Below are 26,257 nucleotides of genomic sequence, written 5' to 3'. Positions count from 1 at the left end.
AGGCCTGCAGAGGAGTCCCCTGCTCCACAACCAGGCGTGCACCTCCCACATCCTCGGGGCTGTAGGCCCCACATGAGAGCAGAAAGAAGGATGCAGAGGAAGGCCAAGAACACAAGGTGTGCCCTTGGAAAGGCTGGGCACACCAAACACAACCTAATAAACAACAGCAATGAGCACACAGGGAAAGTACTCACAGGGAAACCATCATGAACTAGAGGCTGATCCCACACCCTGCCACATGGGGCCCCAGGCCCCAGCCTATCAACCAGTGGTCCTTATTGCCACAGCGATTGGTCTTTGGATAGGCACCTGATGCAAGCTTCAGCCAATCAACAGGCCACTCAGCTGGCCATCAGTAGGCCATCCAATCAGAGCAAAGCCCAGGACTTTCTTCGACTCTTAAGAAAAGAGAAGCAAAGTAACTGGCACAGATTGGAGAGGATCAAGGAACCCCGAGCTGGATACATACAAACTTTGGGTTAACATGGATGATTAAATACATATGTTTATGTGAACCACCTCCCAAATATGCTCCACTATAATGACACAAGACAAAGGGCAGGGGGAGACCAATTGCAAGGTGGCGCAAATGAGAGATGCTACCAAGGGTGGCGGGGGAGAGAGGGGAGCAGTTGTCAAGTTAGGAGGCAACAGGCTGAGGGACAGGGACCAGCAGACGGGGAGGGAGGGGCTGAAGCAGAAGTGTCCAGTGTCTGGAGGGATGGGGCCAGAAAGGCAAGGGGCATCCTGAAGAAGCTATACCTGGGGAGGGCAGCTCTCTCCCCACCTGCTCCCCAATTCATCAGCCAGGAATGCCCCATCCACCCCACCCCAGGGAGGAGGACAGAGGACTTTCGTTTGGGAGCATTGAATGGTTCAGAGATTCTGCAACTCTGCGGTCCCCAACTAAACTGCTCATTGTTTCAAGCAGTCCCTGTTGGGTAAATGTCCCCCATTGTAACCGGACTCGGATTCCACCGCTTGAAAGCCAAATACAAGAGGAGAGGTTTGGTGGGAGGAAAAGTGGTTTTAACTAGAGCCAGCAAACCAAGAAGATGGTGAATTGTTGTTTTAAAGCATTCAATTATCTCAAATTTTAAAATTTATCATAGGATTCTGAAAGGAAAACTTGGTATGGGACATACGTGGGAGCAGTGCAGGGTACAGGGTCTATGTGTCTTGATCCAATGGCTGTCTTGAGTATCACCTATCCTGAGGTCTGGTTGGTGTTATCTTTCCTTCGGCCAGATGGTGGTGGGTGAATTGTTTCGACTCCCCCTAAGTTGGAGGATTCCGCAGGGGTTCCGTGTCTGGTTTTTGTTTCAAGATTAGCCCCTGGAATTCCCAAATAAGCATAGAGTTAGATAAGCGGGCATGGTGCAAAGGAGTGTCTAGTGGGAAAGGGAGAGAAGCAGAGTTTCAAAGTACATTTCAAGGTTACATTTTAAGACTAAAGAAAAAGCCTTAAAATGCATTTTTAAAGCTGATTTAATGCTTGGCTACACTAGGCTGTGGCCAGTGTGCAGTGTGGCTGCTCTTGGATCAGGTGATGTTTCATCAGCTGTGTCCAGGGAGGGCAGGGCCATGTGGCAGAACCTGGGACCTCTGTGTGAGGGACTACCTTGGCCCCTGTCCTTAGCAGGAAGCTATGGTAAGGAACCCTTAGGGAGACATTAAATTGGGGAGACCGTCCCTGCCAATCCTTTAACCTCCCCAGCCTCAGCGACCTCAGTTGGAAAGTGGTGGTAATAATACTACCACTGACCAGGTGTGGTGGCCAGACATTCCACACTTTGGCTTCAGCCGCTCCCTCCCCACTCTACTGTAATCCCAGCACTTTGGGAGGAAGAGGTAGGCGGAACCTGAGGTCTGGAGTTGAGACCAGCCTGGTCAACATGGTGAAACCCCATATCTACTAAAAAGAAAGTACAAAAAATTAGCCAGGTGCAGTGGCACACGTGTGTGGTCCCAGCTACTCGTGGGTCTGAGGCATGAAAATTGTTTGAGCCTGGGAGGCAGAGGTTCCATTGAGTGGAGATCGAGCCACTGCACTCCAGCCTGGGTGATAGAACGAGATTCTGTCTCAAAAAAATAAAAATAAAATAATAATAATAATACCACTGCCTGCCACACTAAGATTGTCTGATTAGATGACAGAATGAATGCAAAAGTACTTTGTGAATCATAAATGTTTTCATCAATATTAGTTATAATGACAATTGCTCCTTCTCCTAATAAATGTATTGCCTTTCTTTAGGAATAAATATAACAAGAAATGTGTAAGATATATATGAGAAAAATAATAAAATTCACCTGAAGGACATAAAAGAAGACCAAAATAAATGAAACAACACATACTTCTAGATGAGAAAACTCAATATTATAAAGAGGTTAGTTCTCTAAAATGAATCCCTAAACCCACAAAGTCAATGTATTTCCAATGAAATTGTCAACAGCATTATTTTCCGAAGTGGGATGAGTAGTGCTAAGATTTATAAGAAAGCCAACATTCCAGAGCAGTGGGGAAGGGATTGCTTCACCACCAAATAGCCATATTAGAGATTCCCTTGCACCATACCCAAACCACCATCTCCCAGGACCCGGGAGAGCAGAAAAGAGGAATGAGAAGAAAGGCGAGGATGTGAGGTGTGCCCTCATAATGGCGGTGCACGCAGCACAAGCAATTGCAGAAAGACTAAAGTACTGAACAAATAGAAAACTTGGAAAAATATTAGAAGGAAATGTGGGAGAACATTTTTGCAATTTGGGGATTGGAAACGGTTTTCTTAACAAGATATAAAAACCCCAAAACAAGAAAACAAAGGTTGAAATTCATAAAAACTAGATACTTCTGTATGATGAAAGACACGATTAATCAAGTTGTTAAGTTTAGCAATAGACTAGGGGAGATATCATAGTATATTTAACAGACAAAGGATTAATAGATACTACAGATGAAATATAAAATAGTTTCTCCAAGTCCATAGGCAGAAGATAATCCAATAGCAACATAGTTAAGTAATGTAAACAAATCATCCTTAGAAGAAGAAATGCAATCACCAAGAAACACATGAAAAGGTGTCCAGCATTTTGCAATTCAAGCAACAATGAGGTGACAGATCGGCAAAAAACTCATAAAGATTTATCATCTGAAGGATTGGCCAAGATAAAGCCAAACTTCTCGTGTTGGCAGAAGAAACTGGTGAAGCCATGTGAAGAGGCCACGTGGTCCTGCCTACCAAGATGTAAAATGTGTACAGCATTTGAACTAGCAATTCAGCCTCCAGGAGCCATCCAGAAGAAACACTGACACACACTTAGACTCCGGTGAAATTCAAGGACTTCTGCCACAGCCTGCTTCGTAATAGTGAAAATCTGAAACTGCCTCAATGACCGTCAATAGGAAGTTGATTTTAAAGTGTTACAGCACATCTGTCTGGAGAGATCGCACTGGCCACTCCTCCTCACCCCCTCTGCTGGACCTCTGAGCGTAGGTGGCCTGGAGCTGGGTCCTGAGCCCTCTTTGGTCTATACCGACACTACCCAATATGGTAGCCACCAGTCACGCTGGACACTTGAAAAGTGGCCGATCCTGACTGAGAAGGGCCACGAGTGGGAAAAACACACCAGACCTCAGTGACTTAGGCAGAAGTATGTTTTGTTCCAGACTATTGACTGAGCCCGCAGCTGAGTTGGCTCCAGCACCCTGGCCCCCTGCTCCATCCACTCACTGGGACTCCCCACTGCACAGGGCAACCTCTCCAGGGGCACTTGGGCTGCGAAGGGGAGAGTGGGTGGCATCCCAGGCTGAAGCTTCCTGAGCAGGGCCAGAGGAGGAGCCAGTCCCTGTGGGCCTCTGTTCTGACAGTGTCAACCTCAGCCAGGCTTGTGTGGGCCAGGTGTACTGTTCTGGTTCAGATTTCAAGGAGATAGTCAGGGCAGGCCGCGCCAAAGCCCTCCGATGGGCTCCCCTACTGCCTGGCAGACCTGTCCAGCTTTGGACTCTGGCCCTGCGACCTGGAAGTCAGGCTGCCAAGAGGTCCAGGCAGTGGCCTCCACTGTGGAGGGTCTCTGGAGAGTTTACAGCCCTAGATAGGGGGGTTAGGGATGTGAGATGGTCCCAGGGGCCTGCTCCTGAGCCACGCCAAGCTGCCTGCTCCCTTTCCTCTGCTTCCAGACTCACGGGATCCTCTGCTCATCAGAACAGGAGTGTGGGAGACCCTGAGACACTGCCCCAGGATCTGAACAGGTGGCAAAGGCTTAACAGGCTAGCGGTCACTGTAGTGACAAGGCGATTGAGTGGTCACCATGGTGATGGGGATGGAGGCTCTTTGCCACCAGTCCCAGTTTTATGCATGGCAGCTCTAATGACAGGATGGTCAGCCCTGCTGAGGCCACTCCTGGTCACCATGACAACCACAGGCCCTCTCAGGAGCACAGTAAGCCCTGGCAGGAGAATCCCCCACTCCACACCTGGCTGGAGCAGGAAATGCCGAGCGGCGCCTGAGCCCCAGGGAAGCAGGCTAGGATGTGAGAGACACAGTCACCTGCAGCCTAATTACTCAAAAGCTGTCCCCAGGTCACAGAAGGGAGAGGACATTTCCCACTGAATCTGTCTGAAGGACACTAAGCCCCACAGCTCAACACAACCAGGAGAGAAAGCGCTGAGGACGCCACCCAAGCGCCCAGCAATGGCCCTGCCTGGAGAACATCCAGGCTCAGTGAGGAAGGGTCCAGAAGGGAATGCTTGCCGACTCGTTGGAGAACAATGAAAAGGAGGAAACTGTGACTGAACCTCAAACCCCAAACCAGCCCGAGGAGAACCACATTCTCCCAGGGACCCAGGGCGGGCCGTGACCCCTGCGGCGGAGAAGCCTTGGATATTTCCACTTCAGAAGCCTACTGGGGAAGGCTGAGGGGTCCCAGCTCCCCACGCTGGCTGCTGTGCAGATGCTGGACGACAGAGCCAGGATGGAGGCCGCCAAGAAGGAGAAGGTATCTCGCCCTCCATTGGGCATTCTGGGAGTGTTTGCTTGCCTGTCCCCAACATTCCATGGTTTGTTTGAGCCTCAGAATCTGATTTTATGCACAGGCTCTTTGAGAAGGGTCTTGCCAGGGGTGCCTTCTGGGGCAGGAAGGCCCCTACTGCCTGGCAGACCCATCCAGCTTTGGACTCTGGTCCTGCGACCCGGAAGTCAGGCTGCCAAGAGGTCCAGGCAGTGGCCTCCACTGGGGAGGGGCTCTGGAGAGTTTAGAGCCCTAGATGTGGGGGTTAGGGACATGAGGTCTTGTGGACAAAGCCCACTACCTGATTTTGAGACAACACTCACTAGACATGGTGACAAGTCAAAGATGCCTTGCCTCCTACCAGGAATCACTTCGCAGGGAGCCCGAGGGCTGCTGTGGCCTGCTGAGGAGTGCAGGGCAGTTACTTTTTCCAAAAACAAAGAGAAATCCAGGCATGCTCTGAGCCAGCCCTGAGCCCAGCAGTGAGCAAGGAGAGAGCTGGAGACAGGGGACTTTGCTGTGAAACACTGGGGGGAATGTGCCTGCATCACCCCAGCTGGGGGCCCAGGCAGAGTGGGGGAGAAGGGGTAAGTGGGCAGAGCCAGTCACTTTGGGCATGCTTCCCTCTCGCCTCTGTGTGAAATGACCAGGTCAGCATAAACCCCGGGCTGGCTGTGCTTCTGGCAGAGCTAATGATGTTAGGAGGAAAACAACCAACCCAAGTGAGAGGGTGCGCAGCCAGACAGCTGGACCGGCCGAGGCCCCAACCAAGTCCCAGATCTGCCTGTCACTGGTGCTATGGCAGCAATTTGGATGAGAAATCCTGCCCAAAGGGCCCCTTCAGGCCACCCGGGGAGAAGGAAGCGGCTGTCTTTGGCATGACCAGAAAGATGGCTCGGAGCTAGGGAGAGGTGGACATGTGGGCTGTGGAGATCTGGCACTTTCCCCAAACAAGGAGAGAAAGCATAGTGTGCCTATGTGTGAATGTGCTATGTGTGCATGTTTGTGCCTGTGCATACCTGCATGTGTACATGCATGTGCACATATGTGTGCACAGGGAATCACTTTAATAAAGGCCACAGCAGAGCTGTCCCTGAGCCCCTTGCATTCACAGTGGCATGTGAGTGAACCACCTTCTTAGGCTGGGCATCCAGTCTCAGACTCTGGGGCTGCCCATGCCCCATCCTTTATCTGCTCCACGTGTGAGGGGTTGCTGGTCCTGACCAGGGCCAGCTGTGAACCCCAGAATCCTGGGAAGTCACTGACATTCTTGTCAGGGCCAAGAGTGGAGCAAGGCAATGCCTCGGGCACAAACTTTAAGGGGTCACCAGAAACATCAATCATCAAGATATATGCTATTTTAAATAATCAAAATGAATGCAAAAAAAATTTATGATGGACAACATACCAAATTCTAAACAAAGGCAGGATGAGTATCACTGGCTTCTGCACTTTTCTCCACCCAGTCTACCCCTCTTCTAGTGCCTGGATCGCAGGGTGCCAAGGCCTGGATGAGGGAAGCGTGGAGCTGCAATGGCCACTCCTGTCTGCCTGTTCTGGCTGCACAGAGGACTCAGTCCTTGTCTTGGGGGAACCTATCTTGGTTTTAGGGTCATCCTAAGGATCTGATGTTTTCCAAGTGAGCTGGCTGTCCAGGCCCACCCAGGTTCAGTCCAGTCCTGTGTCTCTGGGAAGTGCTGCCCCTACCCCAAGCCAGTGTTTGACCTTGGAGCAATGAGCAATGCCCTCCTTCCACTTTCAAAGTTGTCCCCAAGACGTCAGCTGTGGTTGTCTCTGTGCAGACACCGAGGAGGAACTGTCTTCTTTCTCCTTTTGGTTGCTTTGGAGGAAAGTAAAGTGTTGCTGGTTTCCCTCTTTCTACTTCTTTGATTGAGAGCAGCCGTCTTGCCGGTACCAACCTTCCAGATCTTACCTGTGGTTGCAGGAGCCTGTGGCCTCAGTCCTGTGCCCAGTGACTTCTCCATGTGGATGTCAGCTCCTTAGGGGCAAGCCTGATTCCACTGACACTACTCCCACCCCTCATAAGCCCCTTCTTACCAGCTGCAGTTGCCTGGTACCCCACCATCGCTGACTCATTCCTTTGGCATCAAGGTTCATCCCTTACTGGGCCACCACTTCTGGGTGGCCTGAAATAGGGCCCTGGGCATCCCTCTTGGGGACCTTTTGGTCTATATTTTCACTCTCACCTCACTAAGGACAGATGAGTAAATCTGGTTAACTTTGCCTGATAGATTTGGTGACCTTTTTTCAGGAAGGAGCCTGGAAAGATGAGATTCAGGTGTATTGGTCAGCTTAGACTGCCATAAGAGAATACCATCCACTGATGGCTTAGAAACAACAGAAATCTATTTCTCACTATTCTAGAGGCTGGACGTCCAAGATCAGATGCCAGCATGGTCAGGTTGCAGGGAGGGCTCTCTTCCTGACTTGCAGACCGCCACCTTCTTGCTGTGTCCTCACATCGTGGAGAGAGAGTGAAAACAAGCTCTCTGGTGTCTCTTCTTATAAGAATGCTAATCCTATGATGGGGGCTCCCCCTCCTTACCTCATCTAAACCTAATTATCTCCCAAAGGTCTCATCTCCAGATACCATCACACTGGGGTTAGGGCTTTGACATATGAATCTGGGGGGACACAATTCAATCTGTAACACCAGGAGGGCATGCCGGGAGGAACTGACCTTCCTCCCTCCAGCTGCCCTGGACACCTTTGCCCCATTGAAGGAGCAGGCTCAGAAGTGGAATGAGGATGGAATAAGGTGCACTCCATCATGCTTACCCACATCCCTGGCAGGAATTGTCCTGGGCCCCAGCAGGAGAGATGCCCCCCCATACTGCCATGGCACCTGCTCTGAGACAGGTGTGCAGAGTGCAAAGCTCCAGGTGGCCCCCAAGCAGGTGTGCTGGGAGGAGGGGCCCGTGTGGGAGGAGCAGGCAGCGCCAAGGCCTAGCGGAGCAGTGACAGGTCCCTGACTTCAGGGAATGGGCACGCTGTGGGCAGGCAGCTGGTGTGGGGGTGAGGGCTGGGGCTGCATCTGTGGGACCAGGGCTGGGCCATCCATCATATGCCGTGTCACAACCCCAGTGCCCCTGCTGTAGCCAGGACAGGAGGCTGGGCCAGGCTGGGAGGTGACAAGAGTGGGGGCTGTCCCCAGGAGAAGCACTCTGCTGCCTGTGCCCAGGCCTCTGGGGATGAGGACCCCTCAGAAGGAGTAGCTATGTCTAGGAAGCCCCAGGGCAGGAGCAAGCCAAAGGGGACATCATTAGTGAGATCCAGGGGATCAGTGGGCCACAGAAGCCCCAGCGTGAGCCCCTCTGACTGATGCAGCTAGGCCCACACCTGCACCTGCCCACAGCAAGACCCCCAGGAGGAGAGGGGACAGATGGAGAGAGGCACAAAGTGCCCCTGGCCTCTGCCTTGAAGCCACCCCAAGGCAAGAGAGATTTGAGCCCCTGTTTAGTGACCTCCAGGGGAACATTCTGGCCCATCTGATGTGGGAAGCCCCTTGTGGAGTCTGTCATTCCTCAGCTGAGCCAGGCCTTTGGAGGCAGCCCAGGCATGTCCCCTGTGTGCTCCTATCCCTGTGTTGGGACACCTGGCCCAGCCCCTCCTTCTGCCTTTCTCTTCCCTTCCCTTCTCAGGAGTGGACACTTCCTCCTTTAGCCCCCTCACAGCTGTGTGAACTTCTCTGTATCTCTCTCTTTCTGTCTCTTTCTCCCCCTCTCTCTCTGTCTCATTGTCTCTCTGTGTGTCTGTCTGTAGTATTCTCTCTCTGTCTCTGTCACTCTGTCTCTCTCTCTCTCTGTGTCTACCTTTCTGTATTTCGCTTTGTTTCTTTTTCTCTGTGTGTGTGTGTGTGTATCTGTTTTTCTCACTCTCTCTCTGTGTCTATCTTTCTGTATTTCGCTTTGTTTCTTTTTCTGTGTGTGTGTGTGTGTATATCTGTTTTTCTCACTCTCTCAATCTCTCTCTCTCTTTCTGTCTCTCTTTTGCTGGCCTGAGCAAAGAGGGAGCCCCATCCTGATGCTACATAACCGTGAACCAGCACAGACAGAATTGTAGGAAAGTCCTGCAAGTAGAAGGATAGAAGGATGAGGGAAGAAACGCCATGTGAGTCATGACAGATCCCTTTCCAGGAGCCACTGACTCACCCTGCCTCCTGCCCTCCCACTGTGACACTATTACTCACAGACAGGCCCGGATTAAACCTATGTTCCAGGTGCCCTGTGGTTCCCACAGTGTGGCTCCCTGGGTCTGGCCTCAGGCTCCACAGGTGCCCAGCCCTGCCAAAGTCTCCAGAGCAGCTGTCCAGCTGGGGAGCTGCGGGGCCCCTTCACAGAGCGCATGGGAAGAAGTTCCATCCTACACATTACATCGAGAGGGACGTGCCTGAGAAGGGGAGCTGGAGCCCGTGCAGCCCCCTGCTTGCGTGCAGAACATAGTGTACCCTGAGCATGCCATGAAAAACACAAACGCACAAAGTTGTAAAGAAAAAAGAAATGACAGGTGGCTGTAAAATCAGTTATAGCCCACGAGAGGCCCACTAATGAGTGGTGATTTCAGCTGATTACAAAGAAATGATGGTGTTTCTGTAATGAACTAAACATGCACTCGTGCGTGCACACACGCGCACGTATAGTCACATAACTGACCAGCCCTATGCATCACTTGTTAATTACTTAGTAACTGTAACAATAATAGTTTCCAATAAGTGAGCCTTAGTCTCTGCGCAAGGGTCAGTTTATTGAGCACACGGGGGCCTTGCAGTGGGGGCAGGTGATCTGCTCCTGGGAGCCGCCAGCCTCTCCTCTCCTGCTCTTCATCTTCCTCCGTGGTGGGAAATTGTCTCACTGCTTCTACACCTGAGGCTGAACATCTCCCTTTATTTCAGTCTGAAACACATGTAAAAATATACTGGAATGAATTAAGGTTGCAATTATTGATATCAGGCAGTGAGTACATCAGGGTTTATTATACTATCTCCTTTACTTACTTCGAAGTTCTCTATTACCAAAAAATTAAAAACTATAAAAGAAAGAAAAAGGAAATGAGGCTAGATTCAACACAGATTACTCTTACCAAACCCTTCGTAGTCCCAGGAGTCCCCTAACACAAGCACTTGTGACCTGGAGTGATATTCACAGCATTCCTTACCTGGCAATACCTGAGTATTAGCCCCCCCAGTGGGATCTTTGTTGTAGACAACCAGCAACTATCAGCCCAGCCAATAAACAAGTAGGAAAGGGGAGTGCTGGAGAGGCCAAGAAGTGGGATTTTCCATGCTCCTGGGCTGTGATCCAGAGGGCACGGCTGTGAGGCTGATCTCAATGAACACTCTGTCTTGGAAGTACAGGGATCCTCTGCTACCTGAAAACGTTCTGAGTATTCACTTTCATGGATTGCAAAGTCATTTACCCAAAATTCACTCTCCAAATGAAAAGTGAGTATGATGAATCAGTATTCAAGTTCCACCTGGGTCCTGGGAGAGGGCATGGACATCATATCCCAGCTGTTCCGACAGGAGGACCCAATCTGAGTCTCACTGCCTGCCTGCATCGTTTGTCTGCTGCCAGCCTGCACAGTAGGAAGGGAAAACATGATTTGTATCTGTTTTAGGTCAGGTTCCCAAGAAGTAGAGCCTGAGATTGGAATTCTTGGAAAATGGTGTTTGCGGGAGCGCTGTCAGCAGAAGCTATAAGGAAGTTGGGGGGACAGAAAACGAGAGGTAAGAAGCCAGTCAAAAAGGCAGGTCCAGCTTAAGTCCGCCTCAGTCTGGTTCCACAAGGGCTCTGATGCATGAAGAATATCACAGGGTTGTCCCTCCTGGGAGAGGGGCCAGCCTATTGTACCTGTATCAAAGCCACCAGCTGAGGGCCAGTGGGGAGGGAAGATCTTCCAGGCATTTCCAGGAAACTCTCAGGAGAAGGGTGTAGCTGTGAGCAGTCTGCAGCTGCTGCTCACTGCGGCTAAAGGCTGGGTGTGCAGGCCAGTCAGCCAGTGAGGTGCCAACAGCAGGCACTACAGTCCACCCCTTGACTGCTCAGACCTACTGCTTTCCACTTTAAGCTCTCTCCATCCAGGCACAGCTTCAGGGAAAACTTACAATTGGAGAAACAGAGGGATGAACTACAATGCCCACTTCTGCATGTGATTGTAAGACTGTCACTGATACTCACCATCATGCCCCATCCCCACCATCCATTCTAGTGTCCCCTTCCCCTTGGCTAACACTGCTGGTCTAGGTGACTTCCCTAGAGCAGGAGCCAAACCCTTATCCCTGAGGCATCTGAATCCTGGATTCCTTTATCAGGCTATTGTTGTTGTAAGTTGTCCATTCCCAATTACAACTGGACATGAGACTACCAAGAAACACCCTGGCAAATCATCTGAGTGCAAGCCATATTCTTCCTGCTCCATTATGTAGCGGTAGTCCTACCTCCTAATGACAAGGGTAAATTGCCACATTTTGCTCCTTGTGCCAGGATGGTAATACCTTTCTCTACCTGCTTGGCTACTGGCACAAGGAAGCACAGCATGACCAGGAGGCAATTGTAGCTGTACATTTAGTGAATGTGTTAATGTATCACCTGGTGGAAGGACCCCCTCTGAGAACCAGGACTTCTAGACCCACAAAACCTAAAGTTGTGAATGGCGGAAGCACAAATTTCCCAAGTGGATCATGGAGAGTGATGAAGAGTTCTTGGTTCCCAAACCCACATATTTTACCTTTCAGGAACATGGCCTCATCCCATAGCCATTAGAGTGCATATTGCATTCTGGAGGAGACTGGGCCCTCCTCATGGGTGTCATCTTCAAGATGACAGCTCCACTGTGCCTCCAAGAGGATGCTCCACCACCCTATCTGTGATTCCTTGGTTAGCAGGACAGGCTGCTGCACTGAGGGTAGGAAAGGCAAGTCCATTGATGGCTGGAATACATGTCAATCCAAGTCAAGAGAAAATGCCGCCCTTTCCAGGTTGGAAGGGGCCCGATTTAGCCAACTTGTCACCCAGTAGTGGCTGGTTGGTCTCCTCCAGGAGCAGTGTTATACCAGGAATTCAGCACCAGTCGCTATTGCTGGCAGTTCTTACATTCAACAGCAGCAAAACTAGGTCAGCCTTGATGAGAGGGAATGTATGCTTCTGGGCACAGGCATGGCTTCCTTCTCTGACTCCATGACTATCTATTTCTGAGTGCATGGTGGCCGACATTCAGCTGCCTGCCCATCCTATCCACTTGGTTATTATTGCCTCTTCCACAAGAAGTGGTTTCTGGCTGTCATTAATGTCTCATACTTTGTGCCCACTCACACAGGTTTAGCTCTACAACTTTTCCCCATGCCACCACTTTTCCACAATCTTCTAATGTTGCTCCTTCCAAGCTACTGAAGAACGAGCTAAGCTATTCACCAATGTCCATGAGTCTATATTTACCTTAGGCCACATCTCTCTCCACACAAAGTGAATAAGCAGGTGCACCCTCCAAAACTCTACTAAGAGGATTTCTTCTCCCCAGTGTCTTTCAGGGCCACCTTGAGTGGGGCTGAAGTACAGCAGAAGTCCATTTCCAGCTTGCATCAACATTCCAAACTAACCTATCCATGATCAATGCATAGATGGGTTTTTCCCTCCTCCAGCAGCTAGACAAAAGACACCCCCCACCAGGAGGCCATATTTGCATGTGGGTGAAAGAGAGGCACAGGGGCCAATATTCGTGCAACAGTGGTAGATGGCAGGTGGGTCTGGGCCACCTGTCCCTGCAGCTTATCTGTGCCATCTGGACCTGCTCAAGCCTGATTCCAGATATACCATTTCCATCTTATGATGGATGGCTTATGACCTAGTGGGTCTGACAGCACCAAACTCATAATGGGCAGTTATGGCCACATGGTCACTTAATGTCCTATGGTCAGACACTCTGCTGAGTGGCATGCCAGGAAATGCTTTACAAGTGGTGTTTGGTTCTCTGCTGCAGATGGCATGACCTTGGTCCGGAGCCCTAGGGGTTTGGACAGTGACTCCTGTTGGGGCCTAATCTCACATTCCATGCAGAGTATCATCAGATTTGCCAATCACATAGCCTAAGGGTCAGGACTGATCCAACCAGTTTTTGCAGAGATCAAACTGGAGAATGAAAGGTTGATATGATGTGACCATCATATCACGTTTTTCTCTCTTGAAAAGTATGCAGATGTCTGAAAGAGACAAGTGCCCCAGGAGAAAATGCATGCCTTCCTCAGGATCGGCCCCCACCTCCCCTCCTGGCCACAAGGAGGGTCAAATCTCAGCATGGCCCAACTTGGACCTGTCAAGGAAGAAGAAAAAAATTGTATGCCAAAGGAACTCAGTCTTTGGCTAACAAGTACTAGACATCCTTTAAGTCTTTGAGAATGGTAATAATTTCTGCCATCCCTCCAGATTTGTGTTTTTCTGTTTTGGCTGGGTGGGAATGCAGCATTTTCACTTTGCCTTTGTTATTACAAATGTTGCTTATTCTATAAATCAAGGAACCATTGTAAGGGCTCTTCTGATGGTTAAGTATATCCATTCCAATGATTTATTCGGGATCCAAGGAAATGATTTCTGGGTGAATACACAGAACTAGTGGATCCAATTTGAGACATACCTGGGCCAGAACTATATTTGTCGTCTTACCCCAATAAGCCTGCACTCTACTAGGACAGCCATGACAGCACTTTGGGACCCTAGATATAAGTGTGAATTGCTGGCTGGGCATGGTGGCTCACGCCTGTAATCCCAGCATTTTGGGAGGCTGAGGCAGGTAGATCACCTGAGGTCAGGAGTTGAAGACCAGCCTGGCCAACACGGTGAAACCCCATCTCTACTAAAAAATACAAAAATTAGCTGGGCGTGGTGGTGGGTGCCTGTAATCCCAGCTACTCGGGAGGCTGAGGCAGGGAGAATTGCTTGAACCCAGGAGGCGGAGGTTGCAGTGAGCCAAAATCACACCACTGCACTCCAGCCTGGGTGACAGAGCGAGATTCCATCTCAAAAAAAGAAAAAAAAAAGTGTGAATTGCTATGAAATCACTATCAAAAGATCTGAGTGTTACCCTTACTCAGTGTGGTCGAATATAAATAGCCATAGGTTCCTGTTATACACACTTGCTGTGGTGCTACAGAGTCTTTCCTCATGGGAACCCAGTCCCTCTTTCAGTCAATGGGTTCTGGTTCGAGAACTGGCTGAGGTTTGGAAACTGTGCCTTTCCATCATAACTTTCCACTGGGGTGACTGACCTTGGCCTTCTGTTCATCCTTTCTAGCCCCTAAGAATCCAACACTCTATTAGCCTTCTCCTTAGACCCCTATAAGCTAATCCCTTCTAGTTGTTAGTCTGACCTTGGTGCCCAATATGATAATTATTCCCACTTTGCTTCTGATATGCTTCTAAGTGCTGCCCCTGGTCTCTGCCCTTAAGTGATCTATCATCCCCACTGCCATTAGGGGGAGAAGCTCTGAAAAAGAGTTGTCTCCCATCAACTCTGGTCTACAAAGGACAGCCCTACTGAGCCTCAGCCATGTGCCCGACACCAGCAGATTCTTTACAGCCTGGGAAGCAGAGTGTCTTCCCTGCCTTTCCAGGGAACATAGCCAGCTTACAGGCTTTTTGATCTTATAGAGTAGGTCAGTTATATTTTGCCCCATTTCTTTTATCCTTTTGATCACTTCCTCTTGGCCCACCATGTAAACTCAAGCATCCCTGCTTCATTTAATCGAGCTGTTGCTTTTTCTAAGCTACCAAGAGCAACCCCAGCAATATATCAGAGCCCTCTCTTGGGACCCTTGCTAGGGTGTTAAATCCTGCATCATAGGAGAATGCCCCCACATCAGCAAAGTCCCCTTATCCTCTTGATATCCCACCTGCCCCAGTCCAGCACCTTCAGGATCTGGTCTCAATCACAGGATCCAGCACCTTTGGGACTGTTGCAAGCATAAGATCCAGCACTTTTGGGATCTAGTCTCCCACTTCCTGCTAGTACTTGTTAGCCAAAGACTGAGTTCCTTTGGCATACAATTTTTTTCTTCTTCCTTGACAGGTCCAAGTTGGGCCATGCTGAGATTTGACCCTCCTTGTGGCCAGGAGGGGAGGTAGGGGCCGATCCTGAGGAAGGCACTCATTTTCTCCTGGGGCACTTGTCTCTTTCAGACATCTGCATACTTTTCAAGAGAGAAAAGGCCTCCTTCTCACAGCAAGACTACTTCTGTAGATGCAGGTGGCTCGTGGGAATCTGGCAATTCAAAATTCTCAAGTGTACTCACTAGCACATTAGAAAACCAGTAGTACACATCTCTTTCCAAATCTTCATTCAGTGACACTATGTCAGTAGCTGGAAATGGGCCATGGTGGGTGTATTTAAACCATGAAAATCAGAAAATGCTACAAACCAGGGCATCCCGCATCTCTAGACAGCAGATTGTTGGCCATTTCCCAGCATACCATTGTGTATACTCCTTCCCATCAGGGCCGTGGCTTGCCTTGGTGGAGGACTCAGCCCTTGCTGAAGTTCTGCTACTGCTCTTACAATTGAGTCCTATGCCTGGTCTCCAGCTCTGCCTGCCTCACTACAGGAGACAAGCATCTCTTTGAACACTGCCGAGAAGACCCTCTGGCTCTCAGGCTTGGCTTTAAATCGATAGACCTGAGCCTGCCATTTTCTCTTTTCCATGCATCACTCCACTGATCCACAGGTCTCAGTGGCATAGTCCTTCGGGTTAGCATCTCCCCCACACCCTCGGTGCCAGAGACACTGAGTAAGAAAGTACCTCCCTGTCTACCCCCATCCCCGCTCCCCACAGGCAGGGCCTTGGCGATCCACTGCTGCAATGTGCCAGAGACTGTCAGTACTCCTACCACCAGTGAGGTGGCAACCAGCTGGGAAGTGATCCAACTCCAGAGTCCCGCCCTCATAGGCTGATTTCTAGGACCACCCCTGGTATACTGTGTTAGGTTCTTGAAGCAGAGCCTGAGATAAGGATTCTGGCACCTGTGATTGAGTGGGAGGGTGCTCTCAGGATGAGATGGGGTAGAAATAGGCAAAGGTACAGATTCAGCAGCAGTTGAGCCTCAGTCTGACCCAGCAGGGAGCTCTCAAATGTGAATGACATCACAGAGTTGTCCCTCTGAGGCAGGGGCCAGCCTTTGTGCTCCTACATGAGTCAGTCACTGGCTGGAGGCCCCTGGGGAAAGGCTAGGGCTGCCAGCTTTAGCAAATAAAAAATTAGGGCACTCAGTTAAATTGAATTTCAGATAAACAACAAATTATTTTTTAGTATATGTCCCAAATTGTGCATAACATAATGTGTTTTCTCCGCCAGCCCTGGGAAGGGCGTAACTTCCCAGGTATTTCTAGGTGAAGTAACTTTGTAGATCAGGAGTAAGTCCCAGGAAAGAAGTCCAGCTCTTCTCTTCAGCCCTGGGCAGCTGGGGGTAGGCACAGGGGCCCAGCAGGCACCCATAGCATCTCCTACAGCATCTGAAATGAACAGGGTCATCACGTACTACATACAAATGTACCCACTGCTGAGTTCTTCAGGGATTATATCATTAGGTACTTGGTATTTTAAATACATTACATTATGCAGAAGTCCTTTGTGGATTGCTATATTTGGAGAGTTTTGTGATATTGGGGGGATTAGATGGAGTTTTCAGATGGGCATCATACGGTTTTTCATTTAAAACCCTAGAGTATTGTAATCCTAGGGAGTGATCCTGCGATTAGTAAATTAGCTCTCCAATAGATTTTCAATGTGGTTGCAAAGGACATGCATGTGGTTCACCCTCCCAGGAAATCCAGAAGGGCAGCATTGGCCTGAGTGGCCTGAGTTTGGCTGGTTGGGCTGGTAATGCTGGACAAAGACAATGGGTGGAATGGTTTGCTTCCCTCAGTCCTTTCAGACACAGCCCAGCCCACCACGTCAAGCCAGTGGGTGCATCTGCAACCAATCCCCATGAGAACTGCAGCCTCTCAGAGGTGGGCAAGTTGGCCCGGGTGGGTCAGGAGGATCAGATGTTGAGGAAATCTTTGGATTGGAGGCAGGCAGAGCAGGGAAGCATCGGGTGATTCTATGACAGACCCAGGGCTCCAAGCTGCAGTTCAGGAGGGGCACTGGCACGGCCTCTGCTCAACTCCCCCTTGAGTGACATCAGGTGAAGTGCCGACAACACAGAAGGCAGCAAATGCTGCCAGTCAGGTCTGCTTCCCAGGACAGCCAGTTGCTAACCCTTCTCCAGCACAGCACTGGATTTTGGTCACCTGGCTGGGAGCTCCACCTCCCCAGCTGCTGCCTCACCTGCTTTTCCAAACCCCACCCTGTAAACGGTAACTACATTTTGTGCCCACTACGCCTCGTTTCCATCTCTTTGGAGCACCTCTCACGTGGAGCTGAACAGAACGACCTGTTAAGCCCACCGTGTCTGTTAGGGTTGTCTAGGCTGTATCAGATACCCAACTAAAACTGGATTCACCAACAGGTATTGTCAAAGCACATAAGAAAGAGTCCAGAGGCAGGCAGCTCTCAGCCTGGTGTCAGGCTCTGGGTCAGCTTTCCAGATTCTCTTAACCTTCCCCACATCTGCCAGATGCCGCCACAGGCACAGGAGGTACAAACAAACCCAAAAATGTTCTGGAAACAAGAAGGGAAGGGGATCCCCACCATATCTCCCCAGAGGCCTTCCTTCTCACATCTCACTGTACTGAAGCCAGCTCTAGCAGAAGACAGCAGGGTGAATTTGTCCAGGGTATTCAGCCCCCAGTGCTGGGTCCATTACTACTTGACCCCTGAATAAAACAGAGGTTCCATGAGCAAGAAGGAAGGGGAACTGGATGTTAGAGGGCAAGAATGTATCCATCCCACCCCTAGGAGCACGCATGGACAACTGCCCCATTTTTGCTCCTATTGCAGCCCAGGGGCTAGCCCAGAGACCTTGCCAGTGCTGAGTCACAAGATGCTGGGAAAGTGAGACCAGAGCCTGGTCTTGGGGAACAGCTCAAGGCCGCATTGGTCTGCAGGTCATAGAGCAGCTGCTGAGCAGTGAGAGCCCACGATGGGCCAGGCCCTGGGTCTTGGAGACCTGAATGAGATAGACTGGGTTCCTGTTCTCCTGGGCATTGCCTCTTAGAGGGCAAAGACAATTAACAATAAACAAATAGAACATGAAGTGTTTTCCGATAGTGACTGATATACTTTGGATATTTGTCCTCTCCAAATCTCATGTTGAAATGTAATTCCTTATGTTGGAGGTGGGGCCTGGAAGGAGGTGTCTGGGTCATGGGGGCAGATCCCTCATGAATGGTTTAGTGCCATCCCCTTGGTGATGAGTGAGTTCACGTGAGAGCTGGTTGTTTGAAAGAGCCTGGCCCCCTCTCATTCTCCTGCTCCCACTCTTGCATGAGACACCTGCTCCCCCTTCTCCTTCTGCCATGATTTTAAGATTCCAGGGACTTCACAAGAAGCAAATGCTAACGCCATGCTTCTTGTTCTGTCTGCAAAACTGTAAGCCAATTAAACCTCTTTTCTTTGTAATTTATCCAGTCTTGGGTATTTCTTTATAACAGCACAAGAACAGCCTAATACAGTGATGCTCTCCAAGTGACCTTTGGGCTGAGACCTGAAGAAGAAGGGGAAGCAGTTAGGTCTGATAGCTCATGCCTGTAATCCCAGCTCTTTAGGAGGCTGAAGTGGGAGGACTGCTTGAGCCTAGGAGTTGAAGACCAGCTTGGAAAACATAGCAAGACCCTGGCTCTACAAAAATATTTTTTAATTGGCCAGGTGTGGTGGTGCACACCTGTAGTCCCACCTACTTGGAAGGCTGAGGCAGGAGCATCTCTTGAGCCCAGGAGGTTGAGACTGCAGTGAGTCATGTTCACACCACTGCACTCCAGCTTGGGTGACAGAGCAAGACCTGTCTCGAAAAAGAAGAAAGAAGAAAGTAGGAAGAAGAAGAAGAAGAAGAAGAAGAAGAAGAAGAAGAAGAAGAAGAAGAAGAAGAAGAAGAAGAAGAGGAAGAGGAACAAGAACAAGAAGAAGAACAAGAAGAACAAGAAGAAGAACAAGGAGAACAAGAAGAAGAATAAGAAGAAGAAGGAGAAGAAGAAGAAGGAGAGGAAGAAGAAGAAGAGGAAGAGGAGGAAGAGGAGGAGGAGGAAGATGAGGAGGAGGAAGCAGAAGCAGAAGAAAAAGAAAGAAAAGAAAGAAAGAGAAAGAAAGAAAAGGGAAGGAGGGAAGGAAGGAAGGAAGGAAAAAGGGAAGGAAAGGGAAGGAGAGGGAGAGGGAGAAGGAAGAACAAAGAAGAAAGAAGGAGAAGCAGAGGCTTGTGCTGGATAGCCTTGCTTTTGCCAATGACCTTGCTGATTTTCAGGGGGTCCTGGTGTCTTAGTCCATTTGTGTTGCTGTAAAGGCATACCTGAGGCTGGATAATTTACAGAGAAAAGAGGTTTATTTGGCTGAGAGTTCTGCAGGCTCTACAAGAAGCATGGCACCAATGCCTACTTCTGATGAGGGCCTCAGTCTGCTTCCACTCATGGCAGAAGGTGAAGCAGAGCCTGCATGTGCAGATATCACATGGTGAGAGAGGAAGCACGAGGGGGCAGGGAGGTGCCAGCCTCTTCCTAATAGTAAGCTGTCTTGAGAACTAATAGAGTAAGAAATAACTCACACCCTGCCCCCAAGGAAGGGCATTAATCTATTCATGAAGTATCTGCCCCCATGACCCAAACATCTCCCATTAGGCCCCCCACCTCCAACATTGAGGATCAAATTTCAACATGAGGTTCCGGTGGGCAAACATCCAGCTATAATACTGGGCAATGCTGACCAGACTCTTCCCCTCTCAGGCCCAGAGCTCCTTGGCCCTGTAACAACAGAAAATTGCGTTTGAGTGTCAAGATTTTTCCTTTAGTCCCCATGCAGCTCCTTAGAATGAGGTGGCATCTTCTCCCTTTTCATAGGTGAAGAAACAGAAGCTCTGGAGGAACGAATCATTCATCCAAGGTCAGGTAGCTAGTAAGCGTCCCACCAGCTCCCCAGATCTCCTGTTTCCTGTCCCAAGTCCCACTGAGTGAGCTGGAACAATGGCTTCACTGGCACCTGCCGGGAATGGTGGCAGGTGCCTATAATCCCAGCTACTCGGGAGGCTGAGGCATGAGAATCACTTGAACCCGGGAGGCAGAGGTTGCAGCGAGCCAAGATCACACCACTGCACTCCAGCCTGGATAACAAACGGAGATTCCATTTAAAAAAATTAACATATAATATACATACAGTAACATTCACTTTTTAAGTGTACAGTTTGATGAGTTTTATCAAATGTATATGGTTATATAACCACCATCACCATTAAGGCAGAATCTTCCCATCACTCAAATAATTCCCTCAGCCCCACCTCTTGCTGTCAATCACTTCTCCCACCCTAGCCACTGGAAATCATTCATCTGTTTTCTGTCCCCTTGGTTTTGCCTTTTCTAGAATGTTCTATACATGAGACCACTGAGAATATAGTCTTCTGTGTCTGGCTTCTTTCACTTAACATAATGCCTAGCTCAGCAGTGTGTCAATCCTCCCTCCCTTGCCATTGCTGAGCAGTGAGTATTCCACTGTATGGCTGTGCTACGGTGTGTTCATCCATTTATTCATTCACCAGCTAATGGGCATTTGGATTGTTTCCAGGCTTTGGCTATGATGAGTGAAGCTGCTGTGAATGTTCAAGTACAAGTCTTTGTGTAGACAGGGGTTTTCAATTGGCGGGATAAATACCTAGGAGTAGTATCGTGTGGTTAAGCGTACGTTTAAACTTAGAAAAACTGTCAAACTGTTTTCCAATGTGGCCTGTACCATGTTGCATTTCCATCAGCAGTGTTTGAGAATTCCAATTGCTCCACATCCTCCTCCCGACACTTGGTTTCACCCATCTTTTAAATATTAGCCACTCTGGTGACTGTGTAGTGATATGTCAGTGTGGTTGTAATTTGCATTTCTATGATTGACTAATAATAATGTTGCAGATATTTCTGTATGCTTAGTGGGCATTTTTGGTGAGTTTTTAAAAATTGGGTTGTTGTCACCGTCTTATTGAGTTGGAAGAATTCTTTATATGTTCTGGATGTTTATTCATGTGTGTGTCTGCTAAGAGGTGAGACTGGTTCTACCCTGGTCCTAACAAGCACCCTGGGCCTGCATCCCTTTTTGTGTCTGTGAGCTGGGTCTGCAGCCCTCTCCTCCCACTACCTACTGCCCAGCAGTACCCCTCACCCATCACTGTGGCTCCTGCAATGACATCTCAGCCTGTCTCTCCCTCCCTCCAGCTAGCCAGAGGCAGGATGGCTCAGTGACACAGGGTGGGCCCTGAAGACAGAGTGCCAGGGTTTGGACCTTGTATTAGCAAGAGTCACAAGGGAAACTTACTTTATCTCTCCATAGCTCTGTTGTGAGGATCCAATAAATTAATCCATAGAAGAGCTTAGGACAGCACCTGGCACAAAGTATACATGAGCTATTATGATGTTATTCTTCCAACCCATTGTTTCTGTGTTGTCATAAACATGAATGCAGGACTCAGTGTCCCAGCTCTGTGTCCCTCGCATACATTCCCTAACAGCCCACAGGTCTTGCCTGTCACCGCCTCATTCAATAAGTGATGACTCTGCCTCTTCCTTGGCTGGGGCCTTGCATTGGACATTTCTGTATCCATATTTGTTTTTTAAAAACTAGCTGTTGGCCGGGCGCGGTGGCTCACATCTCTAATCCCAGCACTTGGGAGGCAGAGACAGGTGGATCATGAGGTCAGGAGTTCAAGGCCAGCCTGGCCAACATGGTGAAACCCCATCTGTACAAAAAATACGAAAATTAGCTGGGCGTGGTGGCATGCACCTGTAATCCCAGCTACTTGGGAGGCTGAAGCAGGAGAATCGCTTGAACCTGGGAGGCAGAGGTTGTAGTGAGCCAATATAGCGCCACTGCACTCCAGCCTGGGCAACACAGCAAAACTCCATCTCAAAAAAAAAAAAAACAAAAAACAACCTAGCTGGACTTGACACTCTTGTTAGAGGAAGATTTTTCCACATCTGTTAACTTTTCTTCTATTGTTATCCATCTGTGCAGGTTTTTCTGTCCTCCTGAGTCATTTTGATAATTTATATTATATTTTGAAAATCATCCATTTCCTATAGTTGTTTATTAGTGTCTTCTCTGTTATATTTGATCAGATTACCAAATCTTGCTCATTGATTGCCCATTTATTTTATTGTGTTTATTTTTTTGAGACAGGGTCTCACTCGACAGCCCAGGCTGAAGTGCAGTGGTGCAATCATGGCTCACTGCAGCCTTGACCTCCTGGGCTCAAGCAATTCTCCCACCTCAGCCTCCTGAGTAGCTGGGACCTCAGGCACACGCCACCACAGCTGGCTAATATTTTATTTATTTATTTATTTATTTATTTTTGTAGAGATGGGGTCTCACTATGTTGCCCAGGCTGGTTTCAAACTCCTTGGTTCAAGTGATCCTCCTGCCTCAGCTTCCCAAAGTACTGGGATTACAGGAGTGAGCCACCATGCCCAGCCCCTATTTACTTTATAGTAAGTGCCTTCATGGGCATAAATGTTCCTCTGAGACAGCTTTGGCTATTAGCCATACTTTTAATATTTTGTACATTCATGGTTATTCATTTATAAATGGTCTGTAATGCAATGCAGATTTCCCCTTTGGCCCAAATGCCATTTACAGCAGCACTTTTCTCTTTCTGAGCAGACAGAATATTTTGGTTTCCCCTCTGTTGTTTATTTCTCGTCTGCCTCGCCTCATTTGCTAGGTGTTCCCTTGGTGTGCCTTAAGTATGAGCCACTCAAATATTTGTGTTTCTCTAAACACCCCTGACACTGTCCTGCTGGTTTCTCTATCTGGAATATCCTTCCCTTCTTGGCCAGTTCCCCCTAGTGCATCAAAGAAATCCTGCTCTTTTGCCTTCAGAAAACAAAACAAAACGAAACCTATCAGTCTCCTTATGTCCCCAAAGACATAGCTTTGCTGGTATCTGGTTGTATTGAGCTGTTCATTTGTCTCTTCTGCTAGATGGTAAGCTCCTTGGAAACTAAAAACTAATCACTTTTCTAACTTCAGACTGAGCACAAATTAGGTTCTCAAGAAACATTGAATAATGAGTGATCCGGTATCCCCTTCCAACATATTTTTGGTCATTGATACCATCATTCTGAGTAGTTACTAGGGAACACTTCACTGCAGTAACCAATACAGCAAAACGTGAAATACAGTTACATAGTAGAATTGTATTTCTTGCCCATATAATAGTCAAGTGCAGTTCTTCATCAGCTGGGAGGTTCTCCTCCACACAGTCATTTAGGAATCCAGGGAACATAGCAGAGGTTGCTAGCTCTAGACCCAAACCCATGTCCTCTTTGTCCACAGTGAGGACAATGCCAGCAACAGCTGGCCAGCTGTTCTGTAGTTCTCAGCCTCCCTCGCAGTGAGATGTCTCCATGCAATTTCAGTGGAGCAACATATACCATTTCCATTTCCAGGTGTAGGCTCCTAAGAAGAGGGTGGCTTCTTCATGTTCTTTCTCACCTTTCCGTAGGCTAGCTGCAGATAATGATGAGGCTTTAGGGAGTGGGTGGAGCCATAAAGTAGAAGCCTGGATTCCTAAATGACGGTGTGAAGTGTTCCCTAATTTCACGTAATTGTTTCTTAATTTCCTGTTTGGGTTATTTGTTGCTAAGGTATAAAAAAACCCTGATTTTTGTGTGTTGATATTTGTGTGCTGCAACTTTGCTGAATTAGCTTATTAGCTCAATTTGATCTCAGATATTAGCTCAAATATTTTGGGAGATTATTTATGGTTATCTACATAAGATCATGTCATCTGAAATAAAGATAGTTCTATTTCCTTCTTTCTATCTTAGTCCATTTGGGCTGCTGTAACAAAATGCCATAAATTGGAGGCTGAGAAGTCCAAGATCAAGGCCCAAGCTAATTCACTGTCTGATGAAGGCCTGCTTTCTGGTTCATACATGGCACCTTCTAGCTGTGTCCTCACATGGTGGAAAAGGCAAGGTAGCTCTCTGGGATTCCTTTTTGTTTGTTTGTTTGTTTTGTTGTTTTTGTTTGATTTTTTGAGACAGAGTCTCACTCTGTCACCAGGCTGGAGTGCAGTGGCACAATCTCGGCTCATTGCAACCTCTGACTCCCTGGTTCAAACGATTCTCCTGCCTCAGCCTCCTGAGTAGCTGGGATTACAGGTACCCATCACCATGTCCAGCTACTTTTTGTATTTTTAGTAGAGACAGGGTTTCACCATGTTGGCCAGGATGGTCTCGATCTCTTGACCTCGTGATCTGCCCACCTTGGCCTCCCAAAGTGCTGGGATTACAGGCATGAGCCACCGTGCCTGTCCTCCGGTATTCTTTTTATAAGGGCTCTTTTTCTTTTTATGTGGGCTCTACCCTCATGACCTAGCACCTTCTAAGGCCCCACCTCTTAATATCATCACACAGCAGATTTAATATATGAATTTTGAGGGGACACATTCTTTCCATAGCACTTTCCAGTATGGATACCTTTTATTTATTTTTCTTCCCTAATTGCTTTGGTTAGAAATGTCTTCCCTAATTGCTCCACTACTATGTTGAAAAGAAGTGGCAAAAGTGGGTATTCTTGTCTTGCTCCTCTCTTAGGAAGAAAGTTTAAGTCTTTTGCCATTAAATATGACGTTAGCTATGGGGTTTTCATATATGACATTTATCATGTTGAGGAAATTTTCTTCTTGTTTCAATGATGACAGGGTGTTGAGTTTTGTCAGATGCTTTTTCTGCATCAATCAATATGACCATGTAGTTTCTTTGTTTTATTCCATTATTGTAGTACATTACATTAATTTTTGCATGTTGAACTATTCTTGTGTTCCTGGGATAAATTTCACTTGGTTATGGTGTATAATCCATAACCATAACCTGAAGATATGCTGAAGAGGCTAAGTGCCATGGCTCATGCCTGTAATTCCAACACTTTGGGAGGCTGGTGTGGGAGGATCACCTGAAATCAGGAGTTTTAGAAGAGCCTGGGCAAGTAAACAAGATCCCATCTCTACAAAAAATTGAAAATTACCGCTGGGCATGGTGGCTCACGCCTGTAATCCCAGCACTTTGGGTGGCCGAGGCAGGCAGATCACCTGAGGTCGGGAGTTCTAGACCAGCCTGACCAACATAGAAAAACCCCGTCTCTACTGAAAATACAGAATTAGCCAGGCGTGGTGGCACATGCCTGTAATCCCAGCTACTCAGGAGGCTGAGGCAGGAAAATCACTTGAACCTGGGAGACGGAGGTTGCAGCGAGCCAAGATCATGCCATTGCACTCCAGCCTGGGCAACAAGAGCAAATCTCCGTCTCAAAAAAAAAAAAAAGAAAAGAAAGAAAGAAAGAAAAGAAAAGAAAGAAAATTAGCTTGATGTGGTGGTTGTGCACCTTTAGTCCTAGCTACTCAGGAGGCTGAGGCAGGAGGATTGTTTGAGCCCAGGAGGTTGAGGCTGCAGTGAGCCATGATTGCACCACTGCACTCCAGCCTGAGCAACAAAGTAAGACCTCATCACTAAAAACAAATTTTTTAATACTGAAGAATTTTATTTGCTGGTATTTTGTTGAGGATTTTGCATCTATATTCACAAGAAATATTACTCTGTAGTTTTTCTTCTTGTAGTATCTTTGTCTGGTTTCAGTATCAAGGCAATGCTGGCCTCATGAGATCAATCAGGAAGTGTTACTTCCTCTTTTATTTTTTGGAAGAATTTGAGAGAATTGGTGTTAATTCTTCTTTAAATGGTTGGTAGAATTACCAGTGTAGACATCTGGTCCTGGGATTTTCTTTGTTGGGAGGTTTTTTAGTACTAATTCCATTTCCTTACTTGTTATTAGTCTAATGAGATTTTCTGTTTCTTCTTGAGCTAGTTGTAGTAGCTCATGTGTGGAATTTTTCTATTTCATCTAAGTTATCCAAGTTTACCTAAGTTAAAGTTCCATTTTATCTAACTTGGGTAAGCCAACAAACAATACTAAATTGTTCATAGTATTCTCTCATAGTCCTTTTTTTCTCTAAAGTCAGTAATAACGTTCACTCTTTCATTTTTTCATTCCTGATTTTAATAATCTGAGTTCTTTCTCTCCCCCTCCCTGCAATTGAGAGTCATTTAAAAGTGTCTTGATTAAATT

General features: G+C 48.1%; 1 protein-coding gene and 1 long non-coding RNA gene across 4 annotated transcripts in view, besides 2 other annotated features; one reads left to right on the top strand and one right to left on the bottom strand.

The window, feature by feature from the left end:
• Nucleotides 4,465–26,257, top strand: part of GCK (glucokinase) — a 46,227-nt gene continuing 24,434 nt past the window's right edge. For both annotated transcript variants that reach the window (NM_001354800.1, NM_000162.5), the window contains exon 1: nt 4,465–4,995. In NM_001354800.1, the coding sequence (NP_001341729.1) occupies nt 4,951–4,995 (45 nt within the window). In that variant the 5' untranslated portion in view covers nt 4,465–4,950. The remainder of the gene's footprint in view (nt 4,996–26,257) is intronic.
• Nucleotides 8,867–9,402: an enhancer, noted in NCBI's record as "H3K4me1 hESC enhancer chr7:44224101-44224636 (GRCh37/hg19 assembly coordinates)". NCBI's record gives its function as "activates a minimal SCP1, AML or CMV promoter by ChIP-STARR-seq in naive H9 embryonic stem cells {active_cell/tissue: H9 hESC(naive)}" and the evidence as "EXISTENCE:reporter gene assay evidence [ECO:0000049][PMID:30033119]".
• Nucleotides 9,403–9,940: an enhancer, noted in NCBI's record as "H3K4me1 hESC enhancer chr7:44223563-44224100 (GRCh37/hg19 assembly coordinates)". NCBI's record gives its function as "activates a minimal SCP1, AML or CMV promoter by ChIP-STARR-seq in naive H9 embryonic stem cells {active_cell/tissue: H9 hESC(naive)}" and the evidence as "EXISTENCE:reporter gene assay evidence [ECO:0000049][PMID:30033119]".
• On the bottom strand, nt 9,751–21,529 carry LOC105375257 (uncharacterized). Of its 2 annotated transcripts, none has more exons than XR_927221.3 (3): nt 21,449–21,529; nt 10,444–10,602; nt 9,751–9,920 (listed from the first exon to the last, which is right to left on the bottom strand). It is a non-coding gene; the product is annotated as an uncharacterized LOC105375257 (long non-coding RNA). The 2 variants fall into 2 exon arrangements; XR_927222.3 differs by lacking the exon at nt 21,449–21,529 and adding an exon at nt 11,755–12,513.

This window comes from Homo sapiens, chromosome 7 (genome assembly GCF_000001405.40).
Source record: "Homo sapiens chromosome 7, GRCh38.p14 Primary Assembly".
In the NCBI taxonomy this organism is placed as follows: Eukaryota; Metazoa; Chordata; class Mammalia; order Primates; family Hominidae; genus Homo; species Homo sapiens.
The sequence above is the reverse complement of the archived record's forward strand: the minus strand, read 5'-3'. Positions and strand labels throughout refer to the sequence as shown.